Here is a 24949-nt window from a genome sequence, read left to right as displayed (position 1 = left end):
TTTTATTTGGTCTCAGGATAATGCTAATCATAAATCTTTTTTGAGAGGGAGGCCTTAAAGGATTCATGGAGGTTTCTACACAGAAAAGGGATAAAGGGCATTACAGACTGAGGAAAATGGTGGGCAAAGGCTTTGAAGCCCAAAAGATGATGGTTTGCTCAGAAAATTCCAAGTACTTTTGTGTGGCTGGGGGCATCCATAAAGAGGCATGACACATAGGGGTTTGTGATTATTTCAGGACTGCTGCATATAAGGGTATAGGCTGTAAACTGGTCAATTCCAGAAAGAACCCATCAAGAGACTATAACGTGAATGATGCCTCTATGTTTTGTGCAGTGCACAACTTGCACAACCAATTGCGAGAGCCTTGATTTCAGAGAATTGAGTAGTGTAGTGTGGTTGAATGCAGGCAGAGGCACAGAAAAGAGTTGGGGGTCGGTGCAGTGGCTCATGCCTGTAATCCCCGCACTTTGGGAGACCAAGTCCGGTGGGTCATCTGTGGTCAGGAGTTCAAGACCAGCCTGACCAACACAGTGAAACCCTGTCTCTACTAAACATACAAAAATTAGCCAGGCATTGTGGCATGTGCCTGTAATCCCAACTACTCAGGAGGCTGAGGCAGGAGAATTGCTTGAACCTGGGAGGTGCAGGTTGTAGTGAGCCAAGATCGCACCACTGCACTCCAGCCTGAGCAACACAGAAAGATTCCATCTCAAAAGAAAAAAAAAAAAGAAAGAAAAGAGTGGGGGTGAGACACTTCTGGAGAGTTGGATGATAGATAAATTCTGAAGGGTACTCGGTGTAGTGATGAAGAGTTTGACGCGCTTCCTTCTATAGACCAGTTTTCCTCAAGGTGTTGTCCCCAGAACAACCACATCACTCCAGCAGCACTGGCTTTATGTGGTAACTTGCTGGAAAGGCTAATTCTCCGGCCCCACTCCATGCCTCCTGGATCAGAAACTCCAAGGAAAGTCCCAGCAATCTGTGTTTTAACAAGTTCTCCAGGTGATTCTGATGCTTGCCAAAGCTTGAGGATGCTGCCGTAAGGAGTAAAAGCCATTCGAGGAATTCAGGCAAGGCAAAGCTATGCTCAGATTTGCATTTCACAAAGATTACTGACTGTAATGCATAGGACTGATGGGGGGCGCAGGGTGCAGCTGAAGATAAGACAATACATTTTTAATGCCATGGCAGCAGCAAAGGGAAAGAAGGGGATACATTATTCAAATATATATGAAGTAGAATCTCGACCCTGCTTGCTATGGAGATAGAAGGATCTAGGACTTCCCAAGTTTATGATAAAATTTACCAGGAAGATTGAGTAGCTCCAACAAATCTCCACTATTATCTTACAGATGTAGAAAGAGAGTGATCCTTGACTTAAATCATCATTTATCTTTCCAAATAATATTTATTTATGTTAAGAAAAGCTAATGGGTGCTGGGCTTAATATCTAAGTCATGGGATGATCTGTGCAGCAAACCACCATGGCACACGTTTACCTATGGAACAAACATGCATATCCTACACATGTATCCCTGAACTTAAAATAAAAGTTGGATATAAAAAAAAGAAATGATAAAATGAAAATAATACATGTGAACACATTTTAACTAGATTTTATAAGTTGAGAACAAGATAAATAAAGTTTATGTGTTCTGGAAAAAATATTTCCTCATGTTAAAGAGTATTCTAATAAGAACTTTAGGTTATGAAATTTCTCTTAAACATTTCTTTCTCTTTTTCCTTCAACATTTATTTTAAGTTGTTGGGTACATGTGCAGGATGTGCAGATTTGTTACATAGGTAAACGTGGTTTGCTGCACAGATCAACCCATCACCTAGGTATTGAGCCCAGCATCCCTTAGCTATTCTTCCTGATGCTCTCCCTCCCCCAACCCCCAGCCCTGACAGGCCCCAGGGTGTGTTGTTCCCCACAATGTGTCCATGTGTTCTCATCGTTCAGCTCCTACTCATAAGTAAGAACATGTGGTGTTTGTTTTTTTGTTCCTAAGTTACTTTGCTGAGGATAATGGCTCCCAGCTCCATGCATGTCCCTGCAAAGGACATGATCTCGTTCCTTTTTATGGCTGCATAGTATTCCATGGTGTATATGTACCACATTTTCTTTATCCAGTCTATCACCATTGATGGGCATTTGGGTTGATTCCATGTCTTTGCTACTGTGAATAGTGCTGCCATGAATATACTTGTGCGTGTATTTTTACAATAGAATGATTTATATTACTTTGCGTATAAACCCAGTAATGGGATTACTGGATCAAATAGTATTTCTGCCTCTAGATCTTTGAGGAATCGCCACACTGCCTTCCACAATGGTTGAACTAATTTACATGCCCACCAACTGTGAAAGCATTCCCTTTTCTCCACAATTTCGCCAGCTTGGTATCTCATTGTGGTTTTGATTTGCATTTCTTTAATGATCAGTGACGTTGAGCTTTCTCTCCATATGTTTAAACATTTCTCTTTTAAACAACAGTTCATTGGTACATGAGAAAATGATGAGATAAATACTATATTATTCACCAGACCTTTCTTCTTTTATAAAATTTTATCTTAAGTGTACATTCTGAAATCACAAAGGGAGAAGACCAGTTTAAGGACCTATTTATACTAGCTGTCCCCTGAAAGCATATTCATTTGTTGAATTATTTTTCTGCCACTCCAACTTCCAATTTCTGCAAGGAAGTTTTCTAAATTTCCAGAATTAAAGTGCCATTAAAAGCTGGCTTTGTTCCTTGGACACCTAGTCGGCTTCATCATCTCATCTATCACCATTAACAGAGAATTGCAGGGATTTATTCCCACCATTATCCCCATATCTAAAGACCATGTCCCAGCAGCTTGAAAGAAAGAAAAAACAAAAGCCATAATGCAATCATTTTTCCTTTTAATGAATCTCTGCAGTAAACCTCTTTTGAAAAGTACTTTTGGGGTCAGCATCATTAAGACCACATTACACAATGCCAGAAAATAGAATATATGGACGGCCATGCTGAAATGGAGTGGCTCTGCCAAGGGAAAGTCAGATAGGAGCCAAATCCAGCCGTGACTGCAGAGAGCTTGCGTGATCCACTTTATATCTGCTGTTATGGGAGGCTGCTATGCATTCCAGGGCCCTATGAACAGTAGTGTCTCACTGAATCTTCCGTTGCAAGCATGACAGGTGTTCTTCCTGTCATGAAGCTAAGCATCACAGACAAGGGCCTTTCATTGAGTCTTATTTAGACTGTTTGGGCAGCAACCACCAAGGACTCATAATTTGAATGGGCCCAAGCACTTCTGTATTTATTAGAGACTGAGGAGGTGTTTATTGGGCAGAGAGGCCCTTTTTTTTATAGCTGTCTGATGCGGACATTTTCTGCAATCACATAGACACATTCTATTATCTGCTCCTGGGTTCTGTTATGAGGGCTGCATAAGGCCTTGTCATTCAAAATGTGGTTCTTCAATCTTTAGCATCACCTGGGAACAGATTAGAAATGCAGAATCTCAGGCCCCACCCCAGGCCCACTGAATCAGAATCTGCATTTTAGCAAGATTCTCAAATGATTCATATGTGCATTTAAATTTGAGAGGCACTGACCTCAGACATAAATGCATGCCACTTAAAAAAAAAATCAGAATTGGAGGTTCTCCCATACAGTTTAAACCAGCGGATCTCAGTTCTGGGGACAGGAGTGGATTCTCATGGGCTATGGGGCTTTTCAACACTGTGTAGAGGTTCTGGGATGGGTGGGTGTAATTAGCTAGAAAAAAACCTTGGAGATGATGCTGACGTGGTCTCTAATTCCACCCTGACCTCCTCTCCCAGCCTGTGCTTGACAGCCATTGCTTTAAACATTTTCACATAACACAATTCAACTTGGTAGTTGAAAGAATGCTGGATTTTGAGTCGGATGACTTGACCCTCATCCTGGTTCTGTATTACTGAATTAACTGCATGACCTGAGTCAAGACACGGAGCCTGTTTCTTCATCCATAGACTGGTGCTAGTCATGACAATTACGTTTACAGAAGTAGGGTGTAGTGCTGAAATGATATAATGCATGTGAAGATGTTTTGGAAGTTAGACATTTCAGTATAAATGCCAATTTTTAATGATAATTAACTACATTTTTAAGATAAATGAACTAAAGAGTTTGGGCAGAATTATTAACTACTATATAATGTTAGGGGTAGAAGAACTTTATCCTTATTACGTCCTATTTGACATTAGTGCCTCCTTTCTTATGTAATTGCCAGTTAGCCCATTTCTGTGCATGTTGCTGACTAATTTCAATAAGTTTGGTACAGACAAATGTATAGTCTGTAAACCAAAAATAAAATTCTAAGCCCCCCAACCAATTGAATGGACCACCCCCACTCCTTGACTAAGGGCATTCTAATTTAACCTGAAAAGCTATTTCAGGTCATGATGGGAAGTGGGGGTTGGACATGCCTTATTATGTGCTCCACCCTTTGGAATTCAGGGACAGCTGACCAGCATATAACATTAAAGCAAAGACCTTAAGACTGACAAAGCAGACTCTGTAGCAGTAAGATACCAACATGACAGATAGCAGGCCCTAAAATAAATCCAAGTATTTTATCCCAAAACATATATCTTTGGCATATTTTGAAATGGCCCTACAAAACCGTCTTTTGTGGGTAAAATCTGCATTGTGTAGAGAATTCCTTTCCATTTCTAGGTCTCCCCCCAAACCCCCTTATCCAGGAGAGAATTAACAGAGTCAGGTAACTTTTTAAGTCTGATAAGAAACACAATCTATTCTTTCTGAAGCCTTCTACCTGAAGGCTTCATCTGCATAATAAAAACCTTCCTCTCCACAACCCTTTATCTTAACCCAGACAGTCCCTTTTATTGATTCCAGGTTTTTGGACAAACTCTTTCAGCCAATTGGCAATCAGGAAATCTTTGAATCCACCTATGACCTGGAAGCTCCCCCCACCCCCCAACCCCCACTGCCTGAGTTGTCCTGCCTTTCCAGACAAAACCAATGTACATCTTACATATATTGTTTGATTCAAGTCTTATGTCTCCCTAAAACATATAAAACCAAGCTGTAGCCCAACCACCTTGGGACCCATTATCAGGACCTCCTGAGGCTGTGCCATGGGCATGTCCTTAACCTTGACAAAATAAGCTTCTAAATTGATTGAGACCTGTTTCAGATCCTTTTTGGTTTACAGATCCCTTTGGGAAATCAGGATACTGGGTTGAATAGTGTAATGGTCTGAATGCTTATGTCCCTCCAAAGTTTGTGTGTTGACACTTAATCCACAATGAAATAATACTAAGAGGTGGGGCCTTTTGGGAAGTGATTGAGACAGAGAGGGTCTACACTCATGAATGGAATTTGTGCCCTCATAAGACAGGCTGAAGAGAGCATTCCTGCCTTTTCCACCATGTGAGGACACATCAGTGATGCTCCATCTTTGAAGCAAAAAGTGAGCCCTTACCAAACCCTGAATCTTCTGGAGTATTCATCATAGAATTTCCAGCCTTCAGAACTGAGAAATTAATTTCCATTGTTTATAAATTACACAGTCTAAGGTATTTTGTTATAGCAGCAGGAATGGACTAAGGCAAATGGCATCTCTCCAGAATTCTTGTACATCCAAAAGCTCAGAGTGTGATCTTATTTGGAAATGGGGTCTTTGCAGATGTCATTAGTTATGATGAGGTCATATTCAATTAGGATGGGCCCTAAATCCAATGACCAGTGTCCTTATAAGAAGGCCATGAGAGACACAGAGAGGCCCACAGAGGGCAGATAGCCATGTAACAACAGAGGCAGAGATTGGAGTGGTATTGCTACAAGCCAGGATTGTCAGCAACCAGCAAAATCTAAAAAAAGGCAAGGAAGGATTCTTTTCTAGCACATTCAGAAGAAGCACAGCCCTGTCCACACCTTGGTTTTAGACTTCTAGCTTCCAGAACTGTGAGAGAGTACCTTTCTTAGCCTGAGGAAATGAATATGGCCAGGTTATATTATTCAGTGAGAAGGTCCAGACTTTAATGAGAGATAGAGCTAAGAACACTCACAGAGCCATTTCATACATTCCTTTCAAAAGTAAATCTAATGTCATTTGAAAAGGAGAGGAAAGTCATAGGGGTTTGGAACCTTAGTCAGCAGGAAAACCAGTTTAATTTGGAGAAACTAAGTTGTATTTACTGCTGGAAGTAAATAGTTACGATTTGTTAAATAGGTAATTAACACCTGCATTCTAAACCGCAGCCCAGGACAAGTTAGAACATGTGGTCCCAGAAGCTGTAAAAATCACTTACACCAGTGGAATACGGGAGAAATATAAATAAGGAAATACTACAAAATAACATATTAAAACAGTTAGGTTTAGCAACAAGAAATTTCTTTGATGTTAGGAAATTTAAAAACCAATTTTTAAAACACTTCCTCTAGTGGTAGTCTGTAAGTTAAAGGTGCTAAGGACTCCTCATCCTGTTGCCTAGATAAACCCATGTTTACATCCGAAACACCAGTAAGTTTAACTATGTACCATACCTCATCTCTCTGCTATTCAGCTCCTAGTAAAAGCAGGTCCTGCTGAAATGTGGTGGCAGTTACCTATGTGTGGCTCATCAGAACAGCATTTTTTCACATTGTGGGTAGCAATCCATTGGTGGGTTATAAATCAATTTAATAGTCTTAATCAGCATTTTTTAAAAAAAGTAGAATAGAACAGATGAGAGTAGAATAGAAAACATAAGAAAGGGTAAACAGTGTTTTGTAAAATGTTTGTTGATGTTTGCATGTGTATACTAAGCCATATTCCTACCCCAAATGATGATAATAATAGTAATTATTATATTAAATTATAATAATTATTACACTTTGATGATTCATATGAAGGTAACATGATCCCAATGTTTCTCAAGCTGAACTTTGGATAATTTCACTCAATAAGAGAGAAGGTAGCCTACCTTCCGCGCTCTGCAAAAAGGGACAGAACTCTCGCTCTTTTGACATAACTTTAGCTTAGGACTTCTACAACTTATCTACCTGTTATACCCCTGTGTATACCTTATCTATAGTTTCTGTGTTACGGTCCTATTGGTCCTTTCTTAGCTCTAACATTTGTATTTTTGATCTTTTATTGACTGCTTTTTGTATTCTGTTGTTATTTGGGTTTTGAATAAAGTAGTTTACTTCATAATATTTCCTAGGATATAAGTTGGGGGTTGATACATTTTCATTAATCACTAGCAAAGCTACTTAGTACTTAAATCTTCATCATAAGAAAATGCCATATATTAAATTACACCTGGTCTTTAGTGCTACATTAGGACAGTATTTTTGTTATTATTTTATATTTTGAGACAGTGTCTGGCTCTGTTACCCAGGCTGGAGTGTGGTGGCATAATCGAGGGTCACTGTGACCTCCACCTTCTGGGCTCAAGCCATCCTCCCACCTCAGCCTCAGTATCCTGAGTAGCTGGGACTACAGGTGCACACCACCATGGCCAGCTAATATATATATATATAGATAGATAGATAGATAGATAGATAGATAGATATAGTGGAGAGGGGGTTTTGCCATGTTGCCCAGGCTGGTCAAGTGATTTGCCTGCCTTGACCTCCCAAAGTGCTGGGATTATAGGCACGAGCCACTGTGCCTGGCCAGGACATTATTTTAAACTTCTGATGAAATCCTTCAATATTTAAGCAAAGTTAACATTATTGATAGACTATTGATTGATATTGGTTTCTAAATATGTGGGTTTTTTTCATTATATGATTTGTCTCAAAATAAGAAAAAAGACCCAATTTTTGATTAAGTAAATGTTTATTGAGCTTACATGACTTGAGATCTAGTGATCTTACATGACTTAAGTTATATATAACTTAAGTAATTAATTTTAAAATAATTGACTCAATAGTTTTAAACTATAATATTAGCTTATAGGTCACATTTTGGATTCAAATCTCAATTCTATTGCTCATCTGGCTACGAGGCATCTACTCTTCAGGTAATAGAGGTGATAGCATTGAGATTAGAGCTTAAATATATCTAGTACCTCGTAAGTGCTTTTAAATAGTGGCTAACATTACTGCATATATTCAACAAATAGTCTTCATAGATGAAGACATATGTCTGCAATAATATCTGATTATCAAAGCAAAATTTAACCACCATTGATATTTAGTCTACAGATAAAAATACACCGAGCATATTATGACAAATGTCCAGATAATTTTCACATATAGCCTAAACATTTTCATGTTTAAATTTCTTACTTCCTATGTAGAAGTTTAAAATATTTCTGTAATTTCAAGCTAGGGATCCTCACTTGGTCGAATGCAATCAGTTTGTCAGTGATAGACCTACATATGGTCACTCCATCATAGCCTGTGGCCATGCCTTATTTCCTGTAGCCTGTCAAATATTCATCAGCTGCAAAGGGGAGGTGGCAGGTCATGTCTGAAGGCTACCACACAAATCTTCTCTTCTGATGATGGAAAAAACAGTGGTTGTTCAGAAGCCTATCTTCTGTGTGGTACACAACTATTTTGAATCAGTCCCAGTTTAAAAACTACCCATTACCCCCACCCTCCCAAAAGTCTTTCTTAATCTCCATAGTGAGAATCACTTCCTTCTGTGGTTTTCAGGAGCCTAGGGGCTCTTTAGATGTGCCTTGTGGGGGCCACTGCTGAGAGAAGGAGAAGACTTAGTGGGCAGGGCTATGGGAACTCCACTTCGGCCACGAACCAGGTGGAGCTGTTCCTCCGTATAGTGCTGAAGATGCTTAAATATGTAAAGAAGTGAAAAATTCTCATAGAAACACCTTAATGCTATGGTGTAACATACGCATGCATATAAATACATGCATTTACATATATAAACAGATGTATATCTCCTTTGGAGATGATAATACTGATAAATATTGCTAGCTGTGCTTGAAGATATGGTGAAAAAGACCTGTGGGTGCCCAAAAGCCCTTTCCATTCTATTTACTTACAGATAGATGGTATTTTATTTGTGGCCACAGCTGTTGTTTGCAGAGTTGGTCACTGAGCACAGTGTTGTCTTTTAGACTTCTAGGTTTTCTAAATGCCAGACTAGTTTTGTATATGCCGGGAATCTAAAATTTGACCTCCTAAAACAGGCAGAGGGCATGACTAAACACATTATATTACAATAGCACATAAAACTGCAACCCAATGAGCCCTGGCTGCCACTGGCCAGCTGCACCACATTAAATGGCCTCTAGGAGGCTGAAAGCTTTGTGCACCAGGAGAGACTGAATCATTGATTTTCTCCTACTATTGGAGTAATATTTTATGCTTTTGAATCATTTATATAAACATAATAAAATATACAAAATTCATTTTGCCACATTATTTATAAATTAGTTTAGAATTCCTCAAAAAGGGGAATTTTAGGAATTTTCCCAGATCTGAGTACTTATCTTAAATGCCTATTGAATATGTGTTATTTTCATCAAATTTTTATTTATGCAAATGCAATCCAACAAATACTATCTGTGGCCCTTAGGCTTTCTTTATCTTATTTTCTAAGACATTAAGCTTAGCAAAACAAATTCTAAGCTTTCTACATAAATAAAGGAGTTAACATAATAATAATAAAAAATATGCCCAGTGTCATTCCCACAACCCCATTCTCTCATTGCTTAAATAGTGTTTGCTTCTGAAAGTCTAAGTAGACAAGAGAACAAAGCACAGACAGATGATGACTTAGCACTGCTACAGAAGACACAACTTTTATGCTGCTTGATCTTTTTGCTTTAAAGTTCTCATCCTAATGATATGGTTGGGAGATTGTCAGGTACCACAGATTTGGCAGATAAATAAAGAACACCAAAATTCACAGTAGAAATAGGCTGAAAGGAACTAATTTTCTCTCTGTAAAATCATGACTAGGTAGGTTGAAAATAAGAATATAATTGCCTGTTTGCATATTGGCATTCCTGATCAGCCTGGGAAACACTGTGGGGCAAGTTTTATTTACCTTGGATACCCTTCAGCCTGCTTCCCCTTCTCTCTACACCTTTCACACCTCTTTGGGTCCTTTCTCTTCCCTGTCAAAATATCTGCCCAAGCAACCATTGCCTTCACCTCCTGTTCTACCAACCTGATATCACTATGAGAGTCAGATTATATCTTGACCCATCAGTAGAATTCCATCTTCATCAGTAGAATTTCAGGCAATGGAGATATTTTTGATTAGTGGGGGCTTTTAAATTATACCGCAAAAACATTCACCTATTATACCTAGTTGTAAAGCTGATATTACTGGAAAATATATTTTGGTATAAGGGACCACCATTCTTTTAAAAATTTACCACTTAAATTATATATAACCATCTTTTTCCTTTCCCAATTTCAACACCATTGACAGAATACAAATTGTTTGAACTGAAACCAAAATACTATGTCATGTCACATACAATTGCCAATTAAGAGTATTTTAAATGGAGTTGATTTACTGACTAGGTCTCAGGCTTTTAACTCTGGATTTTTTTCTAATTTTCAATAAAATAACCATATGTTCATTTAATAACAGCATAAATTCTCTATTATTCATATTGTCTCCTTTGCCTTTTTAAAACATCTGAACATTATAATAAGGGTGATATCTCACATATTAATGATTACTTTTAGTCAACTGATTATAGTATTTACTTTCTCATTCCACTGGAAGTTTATTTGGTGCTAAATTCAACCTTTTGATCCTTGTTTCTCTTTGCTGTACATGAGTTTATTTCACTTTGATTTATTCACTCTTTAAATCATTTCTCAACTTTAGTACTCATCGAAAAAGCCTCACAAGGAAATGATTTCCTTCTCAGATTAATGATTTACTGTTGTTTATGTCTAGAAACTGATAGGGACAGAAGGCAAGGAAATTCTGGGTGGAAGAGGGTGGGTCTGCAGTGAGGGACCCTCAAGCCCAAAAGCCTGATACTGTGGCCCAAAATGATAAATTCCATCCCTGTTTTCCAGCTCGAATGTTGCCTTTTCTCAAACCACCCATGGTCTGCCCCATCTCCCATCGTGTGCCCATAAAAATGCCAGGCTCAGCTGACAGAGAGAGGAGAAGCAGCTGGACATTGGAGACTAAGGTTGGACACTGGAGAGAAGCAGCTTGACTTCAGAGGGACAACTTGATGATGTAGCTTTAGAGAGAAGTGTGGCTGGGGATGGCCAAACTTCATGGGAAGAATACCTTCCTGCTCTGTCCCCTTTTTAGCTCCCCTTCCTGCTGAGAGCCACTTTCATTAACAATAAAATCTCCCACATTTACCATCTTCATTCAATTCATTCATGTGACCTCATTCCTCCTGGATGCCAGATAAGAACTTGGGTGCCAGGAGTGCAGATGCAAAAGGCTGTCACGCTGAACCTACACTGAGCTATTAACACTTAAGCTGTCCACAGACAGTAAAGTTAAAACAGCACTGTAGCACTCCTTCTGGGGCTTCAGGGGTTACAGACACCACCCTCAGATGCTGCTGCAGGGCCCCCATGGAGTTTTGCTCCTGCTGGTGCCTAAAAGCTCTCACCCTGGCTCCTCTCACCTGTGCTCCCCGTCCCGTGAGGGGGTGGAACACAGCGGGACCAAGCAAGTGGAGTCTGCTCCTGCCACCAGTGAAGCAGCTGGCTAGTTCCAGCATCTGTGCACTCCAGTTCCTGCCCACGAAGGGGTCAGGGAAATATCCTGCCTCAAAAATCTCCCTTATAATCAATAATCTTTTATATTTAACCAACCTTTTCCAAAAGCATGTGGGAGAAAAAGTGATTTAAAATTAACCCTTAATATAAACAAATTAATATCATTTTTTGCACAAGATATCAGTGAGCTCCCAAGATCTCCTGGATCCACTCCATGGATCTCCTGGCTTAGAAATGGTCTCCTGAGACCAGTTCCACATTTCCAAATTCTTCAGTGATATTTTCACTTACAAATCAATTGGTCCCTCTAGCCTTATAAATAGTTGAAAAAGGAAACTCATGATGTTGCTTTCTACTCTACCTTCCTGCAAAGAATCCTTTCAGATTTTTCTTTTCTTTTCTTTTTGAGACGGATTCTTACTCTGTTGCCCAGGCTGGAGTGCAGTGGCACAATCTCTGCTCACTGCAAGCTCCGCCTCCCGGGTTCATGCCATTCTCCTGCCTCAGCCTCCTGAGTAGCTGGGACTACAGGCACCCACCACCATTCCTGGCTAATTTTTTGTATTTTTAAGAGAGACGGGGTTTCACCGCGTTAGCCAGGATGGTATTGATCTCCTGACCTCATGATCCGCCCGCCTCAGCCTCCCAAAGTGCTGGGATTACAGGTATGAGCCACCGTGCCCGGCAGCAGATTTTTCTATTTCTGTTAAAAATACTGCCTTTATTTCATTTTTCCACTTGGAAATTAAAGTTTTCCCCCCCAGTTCTAATATTCTATGTCTGTGTCTATGTTTATGTTCAGCTCTTCTTCCATAAGCTCTACATCGAACTCCCTAAATTTGATTCATTCATCCTTTACAAATTTTTTCCCCAATCCCTACCTCCTTCCCCCTCCCATGTTAATTAAGAAGCTTAACTTCTCATTCCCAAACAATAGGATTAGCCTTCTAACTGGTTCAAGTGCCTCCAGTCTTGCTTGTTTTCTGTTTGGGATAGAGTGGATGTGGAGGAAGAGGGAATTCAAAAAGTGAAGGGTGCTTTCCATTGTCCTTATCTGTTTCATTCTCCCTGCAGCTTCTTCCTATTGTTTTAAAGATCAGTCATGCTCGGCGCAGTGGCTCATGCCTGTAATCCCAGCACTTTGGGAGGCCGATCATGGAGTCAGGAGTTTGGGGCGGATCACAAGGTTAAGAGTTTGAGAACAGCCTGACCGACATGGTGAAACGCCGTCTCTAATAAAAATACAAAAAAAATTAGCGGGGCATGGTGGTGCATGCCTGTAATCCCAGCTACTCAGGAGGCTGAGGCAGGAGAATCACTTCAACACAGGAGGTGGAGGTTGTAGTGAGCCAAGATCCTGCCACTGCACTCCAGCCTGGACGACAGAATGAGACTCTGTCTCAAAAAAAAAAAAAAAAGAAGATTAGTCATTTATCTTATCTTTCCTGCTGGATTACAACTCCTCAATCGTCAGGATATGTCTGATTGAGATCTGTTTACTTTACAACACTTAACACAATGCTTATACTTAGGTGCTTCATGAATAAACTCTAATCAGTAATATTCATGAATTTATTTTTAATATTAAGTCTGTATCTCAATAGTTGGCTGAATTCTCAACACCAATGTATCGTCCATTAAATTGTTTTAAATTCTTTCATCCTGTCTTCTCCCTTAGATCAAAGTATCCTGTTTAGATCTGAGGTGTAATCACTTTTGTGTCATTCAGTTGCACTTTCAGATATGCAGACTGTCTTACTTTAACTCCAAATTCTACATGGAACCTAAAACCAAACCACATAAACTATTGCATTCAAACAACCCAACTGAGAACTATTTCTTCTAAAGCCATTAAGAGTTTTCAATCATAAGTAAGCATGGCTAGGAAATTTAGAAAGTTTAAACTGAGAATCCAAAGTGTTTTAACTAATAAAACAAAAAAAGTAATATTGTCATCTCCCTATGTAGTTTTATTTTCTCCTAAATTTCATTTTCCTTCATCCTCCTATGGTTTGGATGTTTGTGTCCCCACTAAATTCATATGTTGCAATCATAAGCCCCAAGGTGACTGTATTAGAATGGGGGAATGCTTTGGGAGGTGATTAGGTCTTGAAGGTAGAGCCCACATCAATGGGATGAGTACCCTTATAAAAGAGGCCCAGGAGAGATCACATGTGAGGACACAGTGAGAAGGTACCATCTACAAACAAAGAAATGAGCCCTCACCAGACACTAAATCTGCTGGTGTCTTGATCTTGGACTTCCTAGCCTCAAGAACTGTGAGAAATAAATTTCTGTCATTTATAAGTTACTCAGTATATGGTATTTGTTGCAGCAGCCTGAATGTACTAAGACACATCCTTTTCCCCATTTCTCCTTTCTGAACTCTTTCTCCTAGTCAAAACTTAGGAAAGTACAATATTCAAAGTACAATCTCAACATCAACCAACTGACATGTCACAAGAGAGAATTCAAACAATGATATATTCATGAAATGTTTGTTGAAAAGTGTCATATCTGGAGAACCAAAGTAACATCTGAGTACTGCAGAAGAGATACGAACATCTGATCTGATAAGACCAGGTCTGATCCTGGAACTCCAGACTGGCTGGGAAGTGTCTGTCAAGGGCAACCAGAGACATTTAGAATGATCAGCCCCTTGGCTCCTGGCTTCTGAGTTGAGAGTGCATTGTGGCCCTCTGTCTCATCCATCCTCGGAATGCCAGTGTTCAATCAACAGACACTGTGGATTGAGATGAGAGGAATGTAGGACTCCAGGGACCTTGCACCTAGCCTGGTATTTGCCTCACCCAAGTACAGCTACTTATTGCAGTACCCTCAAAAGTACCTTGGTATTTCTATAAGGGAGAATAGCAATCCTGTGCTTCAGTTATTACATAAATAGTTGAATACATATGATATTTTCTTTTAAAAATGTAATCTCCTGAAGGGAAGACTCTGTATCTTACAACCATACTGTCCATATCCAACACATTTCAAATGATAATGAGATCATTATTGTTCCTGAAATAAATTATGATAGAAATCTATGAAGTGAGAGTTGCTCTCACCAGTAGGTGTCTCTGTTCGATCATGCTCTGCCCCTAACTTGCCCAGGGTTCTCCTGGAAATATTGATGTTACATAAAAGGCACCTTTTCTTTAGAAACTGTATATTTTATATAGAAGAGATAAAATAACTTATCTTTTTACTTATATTCACTTTAGCTCTGAGTTTGGCCTTGCTTCACAGAACTGGTTGCTGAAAATGTTGGAGTGCATTTTCAAGATAAACCCCCTTTCACCTTTTGGTACTTAAATTAGCTTTGTTGCTAAGCTTTATCTCACACAGATCAGAGGTGCATTTCTGAGCAAAACAGCAACAACTAAGCTTCTAGGTATGTGAAGCTGCTCAAAGGTAAAAATCTTTCTCCGAAACATTTATTCCCTTGCCCGTAAAATGAAGCCCTGGGTTGAGCATCCCTTGGGATAATCTCAGGTGTTAATTACTGAGTGATGGTATAGGTAACAGTTAAGTATGCAGCCTCTGGCTCCAGGCTATGTGGGTCCAAATCCTGGCACTGCCTCTCATTACCTGATTGATCTTCTTTGAGCTACTTACTCATTTTGCACTTCAGTTTCTTCATATATAAAAGGAGGATACTGATAATCCTAGTACTACATGATAAAGTTGTTGTAGAGGTTAAATTATCTAAACTGCTCAGAACACTGCAAGACATAATAGATTATATACATCTTTTACATATATAGGATATATAAACCCTATATATCATATTATATATTACTCATATATATATATATATATATATATATATGAATAAAAGCTAGTTACCACTTTGTATAGCTGAACTGAGGCACTAAGGTTACTGTAGGGAATATGTGCACCTTTTTTGTGACTTGTCTCATAAAGGCTATGAATGTTGGAATGGATGTAAATCTTGTGGCCTTTTCCCTGAAGTTAGTTATTTCATCCACCTCATGTATTTTCATAAGTGGAGAGCCGCCAGTCATCTTCTGAACACCTGAGAGGTTTTCCACTCCCCACAACACAGGAAACCCCTTTCCATGTGGAGTTGGGTTACACATTTTGGGTTGTTACAAACACAACTTCAGAAATGAAGACAGTGACATAAATTGGGAAGGAATCATGTGAAAATGACCCACATGAAGATGCACACAACTTTTGATGACAAAGCCCAGGAGCTAGCCTGGTTTTTTAAACAAGTTTGATTAGAATATAAAGTGAATGACGTGAGATATTTAATAGTGACAACTAAACACTTAAATTAATCAGCTCATGCCAGACTCTTAACCACATTTTAAGGTTGGTACCATTATTACCCTTGGTTGTAGAAGGGGAAACAGAAAGACAATGGTTAAGGTCCATGCACAGTGCTAAATACTTGACATGTGTTAGTTCCTGTTGTCCTTGCCTCTACCTACCAGGTGATACTGTTGTTCTCATTATACAAAACAGGAAACTGAGGCACAAAGAGATTAAGTAAATTGTCCATAGCTACTAGGTGGCCTAGCTGGGATTTGAACCCAGCCAGTCTGGCTCTAGAGATGGCCCTGTGAAAAGAAGGAATTAGTGCAGTAGTTCTCAAACTTGAGATGGCACAATAAGAATCACCCGCTGCAAGTCAGCCCATTGAGATGATGCTGAACATTGGAGACTACCATGACAGCTGGAAAGTCCTGGCTAAAAAGGCAGTGTTGGCCTTTTATTTGAAGGCCATAATGGGACCTGGCTCTAGTTTGATCAATGATGTCATGGTACAGTCTTGGCTAAAACGATTCATTTGGTGCCTCACTTCCCTTATCTGTTCAATGCTATTTCCAGGTGAAAGGCTTTGAATGGTGTGTGCCCCTGCACGCATGTGCATGTGTGTATAGGAGTGTGTGCTTCTCTGCATGTGTGTTCGGACAAATAAAGCTTGTTTCATTTGAGGGCAAAGGCCCTAACACAGATCATGTAAAATGTCCTCACAAAGATAAATGAATCCTGAGTACCAATCCCAAATCTGTGTGTTCTCTCTGATAGTGAAGGGAAGGCAAGGCTGCTTTCAAATCCACAAAAGTCATTGAGAAGACCCTGAAATGGGATCTAGTGATGCAGACTGTTGTCGGAATTCCTGCTCGATAGAGACCTTATAATGCTGTAAATGGGAAAATGAATTCTCCAAGTGAATACACATGCAATGCAGAAAATTGCTACTGATGCTATATAGAGTTTAATTCCTTTTCAAAAAAGCCTTGAGAACAGAATAAACACATTATACTTGGATGGTGTATTCAAGAAGTCTCCTCTATAGGAAATGACTTTAGGATTATTATTTTCCCTTTCCTTCAGCAGTGTCTGACAATGCACGATAAAGAACTAGAATGGAGCATCCAAATTCAGACCCTGAAGGTCTTTTTGTTATACTTCAAACCATGGCATGAGGCAAACTCAAATTTCAATCGTCAGAATACTCTTTTAACTTTGTTCTCATGCTCCTGCCCTGCAGTGTTTTTAATGAGAAGTATTTGCATATTAAATAGTGAGCCATATCTGGCAACTTCTCTCAACCTGTTATAATTTTGCTTTTATCCCTGCCCTTCTAATGAAACGCTTGTCTCAGGGGTCACTGATCCTAACTTGTCCCTGAATTCAATGTCACTTTACAGTCCTTACCTTTATTGACTCTTTGGTAGAATTTTACTCCACTGACCACTTCCAGTAGAGTTTCTTCAAGCCTCTCTTCCCTTGAATTCCATAATGCTATGGCACTCTCTTCATTTTCCTCTTACCTTCCTGGTTACTTTTCAATCTCTATTGTGTATGCCCTTTATGTATCCCTTCAATGTTGGTGTTTTTTTCTACACTCTTATCACCATTTCCTCCAGTGGTTCCTGGTATCGTCTATGCATTGGTGGTTCTCAAATCCACCTTTGATGGTTCTATGCATTGGTGGTTCTCAAATCTACATTTCCAGGGTAGATGACATTACTAATCCCACCAACACTATCCCACTACCGGCACTACCACCACTGCCACCAATAAAGATTGATTGAGGCTAAGTGCCTTACAAAGATTATTTCATTTATTTCTCTCAATAGCCTATGAAGTAGGTAACATTATTAACAGATTTTTATAATGAAGAAATTAAAGCTCAGAAAGGCTTAGCAATGTAATGTGTACAAGCCCACACAACTCATAAGCGACTTGAGCCTTGGTCTCCTCTGACGTGAAAGTCCACGTTGTTATGACTGTTGTATATGCCAACATGTGAGGACTACCAACAAGAGGAGTCACACAGATGATTGGGATCTCTCTCCTTAGCTCCAGATCTGTCAAGTCAAGTGGCAGCTGAATATTTCCCCTAAGATGTCCCATGGGTACTTTTCACTCAAACATACCTCAAATAGAATTCACCATCTTTCCTCTGGCACTAAATCTATTCCTCCTCCATGTGTCACAGCTTAGGGGAAGGTCCCACCATCCCGTAGTGATGCAAGCATCCTTGATTCCTCATCTCTTCTTCCCTTATCATCCAATCAGTCCCCAAAGCCCAACCAATCGACCTCTTAAATATCTCTCATACCTCCACATTACTCTTCATCCTTTTTGCCACTACCTGAGTGTGGGACTGCCATCATTTCCCCCCCAGATTCATGCCCAAACCTTGGAACTGTCTTTCCTCCCATTTCTTGCTCCTCGAGTACATCCACCATGTTGTAACCATCATCTCTTTAATACTCCCATCACCTCTAATCTTCCCATTGTTCTCACCATAAAGCTTGCACTCCTGACGTGGATTACAAGGCACTGTGTGATCTTGTCCTGCCGAACTCTACAGATTCTCCCTCACCTTTTGCCCCTGTGCCTTCCTGCCGCTCCTCTCCTCCACACCATGCTCCAGAATCCCTCTCCCTTCCTCTCACATGCAATGTTCTCTCTTGTCTGTGAGTTTTTGCATACTTTGGTCCCTTTGCCTGATGTGTTCTTCTTCCCCCTTCTCCCTTGATTAACTCTCCTCATTGGGTTGACATCTTAGAGCACATGTCCTGTGGGACCACGTGTCACCTGGGACACATGAGCTACACCAATGTGAGCCCACAGCTCTCTGTGCCTTCCCTATCAGAACACTTACCACATGGAGTTGCCCTGGATTATTTGCTGTTGTTTTTGGCTCATTAGTCTCTAAGGTTTGCAAGGACAGTGGCCATATCCACATCAATTAAAAAAAAATCCTTCTATCCCCAGGACTTGGTACATGACCAGTGCTTAATAAATATTGTTGACTGTCTGACTACACCTGGAATTCCAATCTTGCTGAAACTGTCTGAAAAATGGCTGGGAAGAAAAATAGCAACTTGTTACTCTGCTGTATGGCCACATGTGTCAAAACCAAGTTTGAATCAGCCCTTGGTTCAAGTCTATTTTTGTCATGTGGGTCCCCTGGGTCAGGGAGTTTCTGTAAGCCAGGCCCCACTCTATGGGAAGGAGATAATCTTTTAAAGGGTCTTCCTTGCAATGCTGATTACTCTTCCAAGGAAGCAGAGGGATGTGTGAGGTGCTCTGACTCAGCTCCTGCGCTCCTGCTGCTCTGCAGCTGTTGCCTTTGTCTAAACCACATCTCGTTGGCATCTTCTTTCCAACAAAATAATGTGAAAACACCTTAGCCAGGCTGTTTATAATTTTATCCCATACTTACCTTTCCAGTCTCATCTACTTTCCCTGCCCAGCTATGCTTCTTTTCCTATACTATGCTATGAGCTGTTGGAAGGAAGAAACTATGTTTCATTCATTGACCCATCCATTCATTCATCAAGTACTAATCAGTCCACCAATTAACTGAGCAGTATTGTGGGCCAGGTACTGGAATAAATAGGTGAACAAAATCAGACATGGCTCCTGTTCTAATGTTGGGGAGATAGATAATAGTAAAATAATCAATAAATGAGTTGATTTACAACTGAAATCAGTTCTATAAAGGAAACACTGAGGTTCTATGCAATAAACATGACCAACCTAAACTAGAAGGTCAGGGATGCTTCTGTGAGGAACTGATGCTTAAGATGAAGGAAAAGAAAGAGTTAAATTAAGTATAAAATGGGGAGAAAAGTTTATATTCCTTCATAGTTCAAAGATCTCTCCAGTGCATGCACAAAAGAGGAGCTCAATAAATATCTGCTGAAAGAATCAGGCAAGGTGAAAAAAAATACCCAAGAAAAAGTCAGTTTAGACATTTTCTTAGAGGAAGAATAACCAAACTATGCATACAATATGATTCAAAAGGTTGAAATTTTCAGGATGTGCCAGAAGAAGAGATAAATGGTCTTTGTTCAAGTGGAGGATGACAGTTCTTGTAGACAAGTGTACAGCTTTTTTCCTTAACTCAAAAAGGAAAAAATAAATTGGAAGTTAAATGTAAGAACTTATTAATTCAGGTTGTAAAACTTATTATATAACACTTAGGGTATATTAAGGCTATAAACTTCTAAATTTGTCCATTGGGTTCACAGACAGTAGGGAGGCCACCTTCAGCTACCTCTGACTCTAAATGACTAAACATAGGGACATAGAGGCAGAGAGAGAGTTACTGATGCTTTCGAGCCTACATTTGGCAAGGTCTGACTGCAGAAACTTTTAAACACAGCTTTGATTTTCTATTTGCAAACATTTTTGTGTTAGAGAATCCAAATATGTCTCTGTATTCCTTCTAGGTTGAATTCTCCTTTTAGGTTGCATGAAGCCTTTAGGGAGGGGCTTCAAGCAGTATCTGCTCTGCTGAGCATACCATGAGCCTTGGATTGACTTTATCTGTTCCATCCATCTTCTTCTTTGCATAGTGTACAGCTCTTCTTCTTCCTCTTCCTCTTCCTCCTCCTCCTTCTACTTTTAAATAGTTGTGTGTGCGTGTGAGTGTGGTTTTTTGTTTTTGTTTTTGTTTTTTGTTTTTTGAGATGGAGTCTTGCTCTGTCCCTAGGCTGGAGTGCAGTGGCATGATCTTGGCTCACTGCAACATCTGCTTCCTGGGTTCAAGTGATTTTCCTGCCTCAGACTCCCGAGTAGCTGGAACTACAGGCGTGTGCCACCATGCCCAGCTAATTTTTGTAATTTTAGTAGAGACGGGGTTTCACCATGTTGGCCAGGATGGTCTTGATCTCTTGACCTCGTGATCCACCTCCCTTGGCCTCCCAAAGTGCTGGGATTACAGGTGTGCGCCAACGTGCACAGCCTTAAATAGTTTTTAAAGGTTGCAACTTGGTTTTATTTATCAAGGATACTTCATGGTTGGTTAATTCTTCATAAATAAAAGTAGCAAGAAACACACACTTATCAGTAAGTACCTATTTTTACTTCCAAGCAAATAAACATTGATTTATTTCTCTGCTATTAATGGAAATGTTCTTATGGCAGTACTGATTGTACCACACCTAAGGTTAGAATATGAGGAGATACATCTTTGTAGTCATAGACACCCATGGTCTTAATTGCCCAGTGCGTCCTACAAGGACAGGTAATACAAGGTCACAACTGGTAGCTCTGCTGGCAAAACTGTGATATTTATAATGGAAAACTTAACATTAATTAGAAAGCAATCAAATGACAAGGCAGTCATTGCTGTCGGGAAAGATATATTTTAAAAAGTCAAAACATTGTGAGTCACTCTCTTACGATGCAATTCTCTATTTTGGCTCCACCACGTTAATTTGCAAACCAACTTCTACTCTAAGAGAGGAAATGATTTTTTACATAAAATCACCAAAGCAGCTTTCTTTCACCATATAGTTTAAATTTTACAGAGTATCTTTTAAACTATTTTTAAACCATTGAACACTTTGGTTGTAAAAGAAATGGAAATAAATACTTTTTTCAAAATTATAAATTCTCTTGTTTAATGTGAGCTAATCCCAGGACTGATGAAGGTGACCCAAACCTCTTCTGGAAGTGTTTTTGATACTAGCCAGAATCATAAGATCTATAGGGGACTGAAAAGCAAAAGATTCATTGGCTTCTTAAAATAGGAGTTTTAGATTAGAAACTATACATGGCTAAATAAATTAAACCATCAGAAATGAATTGTTTTTAGTGGAAAAGAGCAAAAGGCACAAGGCCTGGGTCTCACTTTGCTATGTATTTCTTCCTCCCCTAAAGCTTCCTTAAATATAGCAAACAGTTTTACTTATGTGCAAAAGCAAAGACTAAGATATTCATCTGAAAATGAAAATGGCAGCTTTCGAGCTGCTTGACAAATTAACAAAAATGTTGAGAAGAAGACAGAAAACCGAATTTTGGCTTACTTCAGATAATAGAGGAGAAAGTCTTATTCAGGGTGAATCCAATGGGTTTGGCTTGAAATTGTCCCTGCTATGGGCAGTGACCCTGAGGGATTCTAAACTCCTTCATGGGCACCCTTGATCTACATCCCAAACATCTTAGATGAATTCCTGATGGTCTGGTGGCATTTGGTAAGCATGGTCTACTGCATGAGTTCTGGATGGACTGAAATAATCAGTTTCCCCAACGTTCTTGGTGGGTTCAGAGTTAAAGTCAGGCTTTTGGAAAACACTGGGCATCTGACTGAAAGCCTTTTTGCTAGAAGGAAGCCTGCCTCTTACCCACAGCAGTTGAAGTGCTCTACTTGCTAACAGACAGTCAATGGCATTGCAATACTCGTGCTCCCCGACTATCAGAAACAAATGCCCACAGCAGAGGAAGGACTGCAGTCGGCTGCACCGAGTGACCCCTCCACCCTGCTTAAGTGCCATTACTCTTCTTGTACTGAAAGCTTTCTTCCTCATAAAATTGCCTCATGCCATTAAAATTCACTTAACTTTCTAACCCTCTTATAATTTTAGTGCACAAATATTTCTATAAAGTTCTGAATTTCATGTTTATTTTCTGCAATTGCACTTCCAAGTGTCTTTCCTTAAGTTCCATCTGAATGGCCAAACTGAAGTAGAGAGCTGTGGAATTCTGGGAACTGGGGATATTTTAGGTGGCCAGACTAAAGGGGCAAAAAGGACAGGAGAAAATCCTTGATAAAACTCTGTTAATTCAGCCTATGAGTACATTTCATCACTTGGCTCACTCAGTCTGCGGTGAGCTTTAAAAATATTCAATTACCTTCATTTTCAGAGGTCGAGCTTAGCTTCTAAGAGATTTTGATAAACTTTTAAAGACTTTGGTCCTTAGGTCATAACCATTTGATAGATAGGAGCAGGAACACTGAAGGTGAAGTCAGTACTTAGCAGGTGTTTCATGGTTAAAAGATCATCATGATCATCATCATTCTCCAGATCTTGTGGAAGAGTTCACTTATAGCTGTCTCTCATCCATCCATCCAGCTATACATCACCCAATACAAGGTACAAGGAACACAAAAGTGAATAAGACAAGGTTCCTGTTTCCTGGATACTGTATTCTTGTGCAAAGGATGGAGGGAAGAAGGGAAGAATGGAGGAGGGAAGGAGGCAAGTAAGGGCAGAGAGGGGTGGGGAGGCATTTGAGCAAGGGATGATAATATGGAGTAATAAATTTTCAAGTAGATGTTTATGTAAAGTGCTATGGGAACACTAATGAAGAAACATTTAAAAAAATAAAACGTTGTGCACATGTACCCTAAAACTTAAAGTATAATAAAAAAATTAAAAAAATAAAAAAACATTTAAACACCAAATCTACTTAGAGGCAACCACCTAAGCTAATTTAATTTGTATATATCTTTCTTTCTCTTGTCTAATTGTTAAATAATTTCTTTTTTGTTCTTTTTCTTTTTTAAAATGTCCAACTTTTAAGTTCAGGGGTACACGTGTGGGATGTGCAGGCTTGTCACATAGGTAAACATGTGCCATGGTAGTTTGCTGCACAGATCAACCCATCACCCAGGTATTAGTCCCAGCACCCACAAGTTATTCTTCCTGATCCTCTCCCTCCTTCTACCCCCTGTGTTAAAAAAATTTCAGGATGTCCAAATCTGTTTCAAAGTGCAGAGGAAAAATGGGGTGAAGTTAATATTATACAGAAAAGTGAATAACTTTCAAAGAGTCTAAAACGATCTATACACACTTTAAAAATCATGTAGCTATGCATCTGAATAATGCTATACTTATCTGTAAGCACATTGATGAAAGTGATTGGTGATGCAGCCAACTTCTATATACAAGAGTAAGGCATTTAGATAAAGATAGTAATAGATGAAAATAGAAAAAAGATGGTATAAAAATAAAAAACGAGAAAGGAAAATGTTTCAATTACTCTACTTCTCAAACACCTTTAAAAAATAACCCAGAGATCTATTTTTACTTATACTACTCAAATGGGAGTAAGGCAGCTTTGGACTGTGGTTATTTGTTTATATTTCTGCACGGTTTTATCTCCCCTTTAGCATGGAGTCTCGTCAAGGGCAAAAAGTTGTGTCTTGTCCATTTAAGTACTCCATAAAATTAAGCTTTTTTGAATAAAGAAATATTTTTCCTTCTAAAACCTAGGTAATCCACCTAGAAGAAGTAGAAGGAGAAAGTTATATGTTATTGACATGATGAAAATGGAGGTATCTGGCTTCCTAGATGTCCATCTTTCATGGGAAAGAACATCTTTCCGTAGATGACATTGGATTTAGAGTTATTGGAATATTTGAGAGGTTATTTCCAACAGCTTGAACCTCACTCTCTGGCCAGGAACTGGCATAATTTCCCTTAAGTCATTTATTTTATTTATTTATTTATTTTTGAGCCAAGGTCTCACTCTGTCACCCAGGCTGGGGTGCACTGGCACAATCATAGCTCACTGCAGCCTTGACCTCCTGGGCTCAAGAGATCCTCCTGCCTTAGCCTCTCCAGTAGCTAGAACTACAGGCATGCACCATCATGTCCAGCCAGTTGAATTCTTAGGTTGTCCAGCCAGCGACAGACAAGAGTTGGAGCACAAATGCCCCAGCTTCCTTCCTTGTGTGGGTGGTCAATTCTGACCTCCACCTACCAGCAGTCCCTGCCAGGACTCAACCTCAAACACCCACAGTAAAGACCTGGTCCTCAACACACCCAGTATCAGGCTCTTTCCCTTCGCTAATCACCTACTAGTGCTACCAGGGATCACCTCTCAAATAAACCACTTGTCCTCACATCTTTGTTTCAGGATCTGTTCCTGGGACAACTCAAGAGTTTCAGTGTTTGCCTTCAAAACAATCTTAAACAAAAAGAACTTCAGACTAGATGGGTGAATACAACTAGAATGTTTACTTTCTGAATTACTTCAAA

General features: G+C 39.6%; 1 protein-coding gene across 1 annotated transcript in view, besides 1 other annotated feature; it reads right to left on the bottom strand.

Moving 5' to 3' along the window:
• KCNB2 (potassium voltage-gated channel subfamily B member 2) overlaps positions 1-24949 on the bottom strand; it is a 401125-nt gene that overhangs the window by 10347 nt on the left and 365829 nt on the right. The window lies entirely within an intron of this gene.
• Positions 2105-2606: an enhancer, noted in NCBI's record as "NANOG hESC enhancer chr8:73837632-73838133 (GRCh37/hg19 assembly coordinates)". NCBI's record gives its function as "activates a minimal SCP1, AML or CMV promoter by ChIP-STARR-seq in naive H9 embryonic stem cells {active_cell/tissue: H9 hESC(naive)}" and the evidence as "EXISTENCE:reporter gene assay evidence [ECO:0000049][PMID:30033119]".

Source organism: Homo sapiens, chromosome 8 (assembly GCF_000001405.40).
Source record: "Homo sapiens chromosome 8, GRCh38.p14 Primary Assembly".
Lineage (NCBI taxonomy): Eukaryota > Metazoa > Chordata > Mammalia > Primates > Hominidae > Homo > Homo sapiens.
This window is presented reverse-complemented; position numbering and strand designations above follow the sequence as displayed.